The sequence below is a fragment of the Homo sapiens genome, chromosome 11 (assembly GCF_000001405.40).
Source record: "Homo sapiens chromosome 11, GRCh38.p14 Primary Assembly".
In the NCBI taxonomy this organism is placed as follows: domain Eukaryota; kingdom Metazoa; phylum Chordata; class Mammalia; order Primates; family Hominidae; genus Homo; species Homo sapiens.
The window spans coordinates 100,598,255-100,606,618 of NC_000011.10; the positions used below are offsets into that span (position 1 = coordinate 100,598,255).

The 8,364-nt window shown below is 41.2% G+C and overlaps 1 annotated feature.

Annotated features, from left to right (window-relative positions):
* Positions 5,504 to 5,798: a silencer, noted in NCBI's record as "tiled region #9794; HepG2 Repressive non-DNase unmatched - State 24:Quies". NCBI's record gives its function as "represses a minimal TATA promoter and a strong SV40 promoter by Sharpr-MPRA in HepG2 cells {active_cell/tissue: HepG2}" and the evidence as "EXISTENCE:reporter gene assay evidence [ECO:0000049][PMID:27701403]".

Sequence of the window (8,364 nt, forward strand, 5' to 3'; positions counted from 1 at the left end):
CCAAATTAGAAAACTCAGATTTCTGAAAACCTCAATTTTTAAGAAGACAAAAACTGATGAAAAAACAGAGTTAAAGAAACTGAAATCAAAACTCATTTTGTGACTTATAAACATGCAAATATGATATTATTTATTCAAATAAATTAATACAGACAATATATTGAATAAAATATTGATGTTTTAGACATAATTACTAACAATAAAAATAGCAAAATTAATGTTTATCATCCTATTGTTAGCAAGAAATTTTACAAAGTTCTCTTTCCAATACCAATAACATGCTTGTAAGTTTATTGCATTTTAAAACAAATAATATCATGACTAAGAGGCATTATTTCCTGTCTCTGGCCCTCCATGCAAATGTCTATTGCCTGCCCAATTCTATATCTTGGATTCGGCTGATGCGTCCTCAATTTTAGCTTTTCAAAATAATCGCCTTTAGGAGAAAATCGTAATTCAATTACAATAGAAGTAAATTTTTCAAGGCTGATGAAAAGGCATATTAACATAAAAGTAATATGTTAAAATTCCAACTGGGACAACTTGTCCAATCAAGAAAGAATTGTTGCCACACTTACAGGCCTAGTGCTAATTACTGGTCACTTGTGATTAATCAATAAGAATGGTGATATTTAACAGACTGAACTAAATTCTTCTGAAGAACTATGCAAGTGTTCATGGGTCAGAATTAAATTCTGACTATAGATTTACATCAGTAGAAATAAACTCTCAGCTTTAAGTTCTGTAAATTCAAAGAATAAAGATGCTCTTCAACTTACAATGAGTTTGGCTTACCATTTTTCAACAAATTACAATGGTCTGAAAGCCATAATCATTCAGTAGAAATCAAACTTCAAATTTTCCTTTTTTTATCTTTTCCTGGGCTAGTGATATGCAATATGATTTCATTAGGCTGCACTAAATTATCTAACATGAAGCCCATTTTATAACAAAGTGTTGCCTATCTCATATAATTTATTGAATACCATATTGAAAGTGTTCTAAGTATGTTTAAAGTAGCCCAAACTAAGCTGTCATGTTTGATAGGTTAGACATATTAAATGTATTTTCAATTTAATGATATTTTCAACTTATGCTGGGTTTATAACCCCGTCATGCCAAAAAGTACCTATATGCTTTTCCAGAGCAAATTAGCCCAAACATATCTCAGAATTTTATCACACAGTCATAAATTCCAGTTTTGTCCATGAATTCATAAACTTGGCCCTAAAATTTTATGGAAGCTGCCTCTGCTTGATGAACAGAGTTCTTTCCTTCAACTCTTCCAGCTCTCCTTGAAAGTTTTTCTTGTTTGTAAAGGTGCACGGTAATTCATAAATATCTCGAAGATGCAAAATAATCTAGTGGTATACCTTGCATTCTTCAAAGCTGGGGTGCAGTGGCATGATCTCAGCTCACTGCAACCTCCGCCTCCCAGGTTCATGCGATACTCGTGTCTCAGCTCCCGAGTAGCTGGGATTATTACAGGCACACGCCACCATGCCTGGCTAATTTTTGTATTTTTTGGTAGAGACGGGGTTTCACTATGTTGTTCAGGCTGGTCTCGAACTCCTGAGCTCAAGTGATCCACCCGCCTTGGCCTTCCAAAGTGCTGGGATTACAGGCATGAGCCACCGCACCCAGCCTAAAATCTGTGAATGATTTCTAAAATTAAAACATTATATTGATTGAATTATTCTACACTAGTTACAAATTTATATTTCTACTCAGCCTGGGGGACTTATCAAATGAAAATTAAATATAGTCTCTAACTGCCATTTTTTTCAAATATACGTATCCAAAGTATGTTTGAATATATGGATGTTTGTCAATAAATTATTGGTGCTTTCAATTTTTTTTCAAACCTAGCATGTTAACATATTGTATCAGAAACTTTTGTCTGCAAATGAAAGAAAACCCAAATCACAACAACTTAAACAATACAGAGAATTTATTATGTCACATAAACGATATATACCAAGGCTCTAGAGTTAGTAATTTCTGGGCTTCATATTATCATCAATAACTTAAGTTCTTCCCATTTTCCATTTTGCCATCCTCAGAAAATTGGCCCTGTCCTCAGTCAAGCCCAGTCAAGTTAGCTACCACATTTTCAGGAAAGGAAAAGCCTGTTTCTTCCTCAGGGTTTCTTTTATGTGAAAACATCTTTTGAAAATAAAAAGCCAACAATGCTCCTTTTTTATATATCTCACTGGCCAAAACTGTATCACCTACCAATTCCTAAAACAAACACTAGCAAGGGGAATGAGAGTAGCAAACTGACTTAGGCTAACTAGGATTTATTCCTGAGTTGGGGATATGAGCACCTTCTCTGAGCAAACTATTGATTTCATTAACAACAACAACAAAAGTGAAAAAAGGATATGTGTCAGCTACAAGCGTCTTGACAGATCAATTGAGCCAATCAAGATTTAGGAAGATGAGACTTTCAGAGCAGCTTGGTTGATTTCCTTGATATTAGTTATTTACTACTGTTTACTAAAAGCCTACTTTGTGTCATACTCTCTACTAACCACTTTACCTAACAATATCATAGCATTAAAATAAACCAAGTCCGTATTCTCTAATTCAACTACTTCCAGTTATACCATAAATTCCTTATGATCACATATAGAAATAGAAGGAAAGATTACAATCTTGATTCCTCCCTTTCTTGTACCAGGTAGCTGGTTTCACATGCAGAAATCTCAAGAAAGTCTCTATTCAATAATGATGTCAAGGAAGATACAAACAGCTTTTTCTTGTCTTCTAAAAAAACTCGAAACATCTTTGACTTTCTTTCTTTGCAGGCTTTCCATCTGTGGCAAGTGAACTACTTTTTCTGTGTTTGAACCAAAAGTTTCCAATCTGTTATCATCAGCTGGTTAGGTTGGATTAATTTATGCAGGCTGGCAAATCTCATAAAATATTTTTTGCCAGAAAGCTTAGACAAATCATAGCATTTGACTGCAGGTTTCATGAGACATGCCCTTGGAACAGGGAAGAGAGAACAGGATTATTAAGGCAGGAGTCTAGAAAAAGCCTATGTTTACAAGCATTCTTTTGCAAGTGGAAAGAGACCATCCAAAAGTGTATTGCGTAGCTATTTCTTGCAATTAAAAACACACAACACATCTCTAACTCCTATAATTAGACTTGGCATGTTTCTTTTTCTCATAAAATGTCAGAATTGTGGAATTCCTGAGATCATCTGGAAAACAATACACAAAAAGAATATGACAAATGTTCTTTATCTTCAGAATAAACATATTACATGTAAACCATCTGAGAAGGAAAAACACGCAAGCTGGATCCAAGTTTCCCCAAACATCTTACAGTTTAAGTGAGGGTAACCATTGATAGACTATATATTGTAAAAAGATACTAGTACTTCTGAGGAAATTTACAATTCAGCAACACAACTTATAAAATACCATTAAAATGCTGTCTTCTATTCATACAGCGAAAACCTATAGAGCTATTTTGAAAAAACAAAAACCAAGAAAGCTCTTTATGTCCTTGACATAGTAAGGTCTCTAAATATATAGCAAATAGAGAAAGGGAGATCAGTACAGTGTGTATATTATGACACCATTTGTAAAACATTATCTGTGTTCATCATTTTCTTATATATGTATAAAATAACTCAGAAGGGATTAAAAAAAAAAAGGGGGCCAGGCATGGTGGCTCAAGCCTGTAATCCCAGCACTTTGTGAGGCCGAGGCGGGCAGATCACTAGGTCAGGAGATGGAGACCATCCTGCTAACATGGTGAAACCCTGTCTCTACTAAAAATACAAAAAAAAATTAGCCGGGCGTGGTGGCGGGCGCCTGTAGTCCCAGCTACTCGGGAGGCTGAGGCAGGAGAATGGCGTGAACCTGGGAGGCAGAGGTTGCAGTGAGCCAAGATCATACCACTGCACTCCTGCCTGGGTGACAGAGTGACACTCTGTCTCAAAAAAAAAAAAAAGAAAGAAAGAAAGAAAGAAACTAGGGGTGAGGGACATGGTAGAAACAGGGCAGAAGATGAACAAGAAAAAATGAATGACATGTTGCTATATAGCTTGTATATTTTGCTGGATTTTATATCATGTAAATGTACTGTCTATTCAAAAATGAATTTGAAAATTCTCAGAATCCAGCTTCTACAAAAATAGAGTAAATGTGCTTTTCGCAATTCCTCCTATTAAGTACAAATGAAAACTCTGGACATTCTAAAACAACTCTGGAAAGGGAGAGAAGGCACGTCAGTTAAGGTGGAGGCCATCGGAAAACCTGGACTTCTAAACCCACCTAATGGAAACAGGGCACCCCCACCCCTCCTTGCTGGGGTGGTGTCAGAGGAGGCAGGGTGAAGAGTTAGGACTTTAATCAGCAATTCGTGGTAACAAAACTGCATTCCTCCTCACCACCCTTTGTGTGCAATGGATGATTTGTAGTGAGTAGTGATGAGATGCCTCTCTTCCTCCAAGCTAGGGTGAAATCAGCAATGACCTAATGAGAAGCTTGAACTACCATACCCATTCAGCAATAACAAAAAGTTCCTCCTCCCCTGTGTCAATAAAGACCTAGACTTCTACCCCCACCTGGCAATAACAGGATATCATCCTCCTACCAGAGGAGTGTCAGAAAAACTTGCTGTAACACAAGATCTAAAATAAGATCCAGAGATGGGGCCAAGATGGTTAATTAGAAGCAGCTGCAGTGTGTGACACTCTTCCAAAGGAATAAAAAGGAGTCAACACAGCACCTTTCACTGAAATATCCAGATACTTGCATTGGAACTGATCAGGGAAACAACCTGACTCACAGAGAACCAAGAAATGCAGGGTGGGCAATGACTCCCCAGGAGCCACACAGAGCCAAGAGAACCCCCACCCCCAGCCAAGGTAAGCAGTGAGTCAATGTGCAACCCTGGGAAAACCATGCTTCTCCCATGGATCTTTGCAACCTTTGGGTCAGGAGATGCCCTCATGAGCCCACTGCACCTGGGCCTTGGGTGACTCCACACAGCTCTCCCAAAGAGCAGCTACTGGCGCACAATAGAGACCCAAGAGCTTTACGTACTCCAGTCCCAGGATTCCTAACAAAAGTAACTGCAACTCAGGCAGGGCAGGAGGTCTGCACATACCCCTAGGAAGGGGGTTGAATCCAGAGAGCCAAGCAGCATCTGTCTGCAGGTCCCACCTCCACAGCAGCTCACAAGGCAAGACCCACTGGCTTGGAATTCCAGCAAGCCACCAGCAACAGGGTGGAGCCTGCCTGAGAAGGGACAAAGCCCCTGGGGGAAAGGGTGGGCCACCGTCTTTGCTGTTTGGTCAAATCAGGCGTTCCAGCCTCCAGGCTTTGGAGAGTCCAAATGGTCCAGACAAAGATGGGTCTCCCCAGCTACTTTGCCAGAAAGTGGCCAGACTGCTTCTTTAAGCAGGACCCCTATCCATTCCTCCTAACTGGGCAGGACCTCCCAGCTGGGGCCTCCAGGTGCCCCCACCCACCAGAGCTCTGATCTTGCCTTGGGACAGAGTGCTGGGTTCCAGGGACTGGCCACCAGCTTTCTTGTCTGGACAACTCAGCTGTTGCAGCCTGCAGGCTTTGGACAGTCCAAGCCAACAGGGACAGAGGCAGTTTCCCAGTACAGCGTGATTTTTTTTTTATCGAGGTGTGGCCAGACTGCCTCTTTAAATGGGACCCTGATCCAGTCCTCCGCTTAGAGCAGGTCCTCCTGGCTGGGGCCTCCAGCCACCCCTACCTGTATTCTACGAACAGAGTTCTGATTTCTCCCTGGGATGAAGTGCCTAGTGGGAGGGGCAAGCTGCCACCTTTGTTGTTTAGATAACTCACTCAGCTGCTCTAGCCTGCAGGATCTGGGGAGTCCAAGCCAACCCAGGCAGAGGTGGTTCCCCAATATGGCACAGCTCTTTTGTCAAGTTGTGGCCAGGCTGCTTCTTTAAGTGGGACCCTGATCCATTTCTTCTCACTGGGCGGGTCCTCCCACCTGAGGCACCTGGCCACCCCTGCCTGTATCTTAGGGCCATCAGAGTTTTAATTTCTCCCTGGGACAGAGTGCCACCACCTTTGCTGTTTGGGCATCTCAGCCAGTCTAGCCTGCGAGCCTTGGAGTGCCCAAACCGATCAGGGGCTGAAGGGATCCCCAATACCGGACAGCTGCTCTACCAAAATGCAGCCAGAATGCTTCTTTAAAGAGGTCTGTGATCCAGTTCTTTCTGATGGGTGAGATCTCCCAATTGGGGTCTCCAGCCTCCTCCTACAGGTGCCTTAGGGCCAACAACAGGTCAGCATCCCCTGAGACAGACCTTCTAGAGGAAGAGGCAGGCTGCCATCTTTGCTGTTTTGTAGGCTACACTGCTGATTCCTACAGGTATTAGAAAAACTGAGGTGACTAGGGTCTGCAGCGGACACCCAGCAAACTGCAGCAGCCATACTAAAGAGTGGCCAGAGTATCAAAAGAAAAAACAAACAAACAACAACAAAAACACAAGAACCCCATCCAAAGGTAAGCAACCTCAAAGACTGAAGGTAGATTAGCCCAGAAATATGAGAAATAATCGCACAAAAACACTGAAAACTCAAAACGCTAGCATGCCCCCTTTCCTCCAAATGACCGCAACACCTCTCCAGCAAGGACATAGAACTGTGCTGAAGCTGAGATGGCTGCGATGACAGAGGTAGTCTTCAGAACGTGGATAAAAATGAACTTTGCTGAGCTAAAAGAGCACATTGTTACCTCAGGCAAGGGAGCTAAGAATCGTGATAAAACAATACAGGAGCTGACAGCCAAAATAGCCAGTATAGACAGGAACATAACCAACCTGATAGAGCTAAAAAACACACTACGAGATCTTCACAGTGCAATCACTACTATTAATAGCAGAATAGACCAAGCAGAGGAAAGAATCTCAGAGCTTAAAGACTGTCTTTCTGAAATAAGACAGGCAGACAAGAATATAGAAAAAAAAATGAAAAAGAAAACCTACAAGAAATATGGGATTATGTAAAGATACCGAAGCTACGACTGATTGGGGTACCAGAAAGAGACAGGGAGAATGGAACTAATTTAGAAAATATATTTCAGGGTATTATGCAGGAAAACTTCCCCAACCTAGCTAGACAGGCCAACATTCAAATTCAGGAAATCCAGAGAACCCAGTGAGATACTCCACAAGAAGGTCATATCCAAGACACATAATCATCAGATTCTTCAAGGTCAAAAAGAAAGAAAAAATAAGGGCAGTCCAAGAGAAAGGCCAGTTTGCCTACAAAGTGAAGCCCGTCAGGTTAACAGTGGACTTCTCGTGGAAACCCTACAAGCCAGAAGAGATTGAGGGCCAATATTCAACGTTCTTAAGAAAAAAAAAATTCCAAGTCAGAATTTTGTATCCAGCCAAACTAAGCTTCATAAGCATAGGAGAAATAAGATCCATTTCAGACAAGCAAATGCTGAGGGAATTTGTTACCACCAGACCTACCTTACAAGAGATCCTGAAAGAAGCACTAAATACAGAAAGGAAAAACCGGCTGGGCGCAGTGGCTCACGCCTGTAATCCCAGCACATTGGGAGGCCAAGGCGGGCAGATCATGAGGTCAGCAGATCGAAACCATCCTGGCTAACACAGTGAAACCCCGTCTCTACTAAAAATACAAAAAATTAGGCGGGCACGGTGGCAGGCACCTATAGTACAAGCTACTCGAGAGGTTGAGGCAGGAGAATGGCTTAATCCCGAGAGGTGGAGCTTACAGTGAGCCGAGATCACACCACTGCACTCCAGCCTGGGCAACAGAGCAAGACTCAGTCTCGGAAAAAAAAGGAAAAACCATTACCATCCACTACAAAAACACACTGAAGTACACAGACCAGTGAAACTACGAAGTAACCACATGAGCAAGTCTGCAAAATAACCAGCTAGCATCATGATGACCAGCTAGCATCATGATGACAGGATCATATCCACACATAACAGTGCTAACCCTAAACGTAAATGAGCTAAATGTCCCAATTAAAAAAACACAGAATGGCAAGTTGGATAAAAACCCAAAATCCATTGGTACGTTGTCTTCAAGAGACCCATCTCACATGCAAAGACACACATACTCTAAATAAAGGGATGGAGGAAAATATACCAAGAAAATGGAAAACAGAAAACAGCAGGCGTTTTGATCCTAGTTTCTGACCAAAAAAAAAGACTTTAAACCAACAAAGATCAAAATAGACAAAGAAGGGCATTACATAATGGTAAAGGGTTCAATTCAACAAGAACAGATAACTATCCTAAATATACATGCAGCCAATACAAGAGCACCCAGATTCATACAGCAAGCTCTTAGAGACCATCAAAGAGACTTAGAC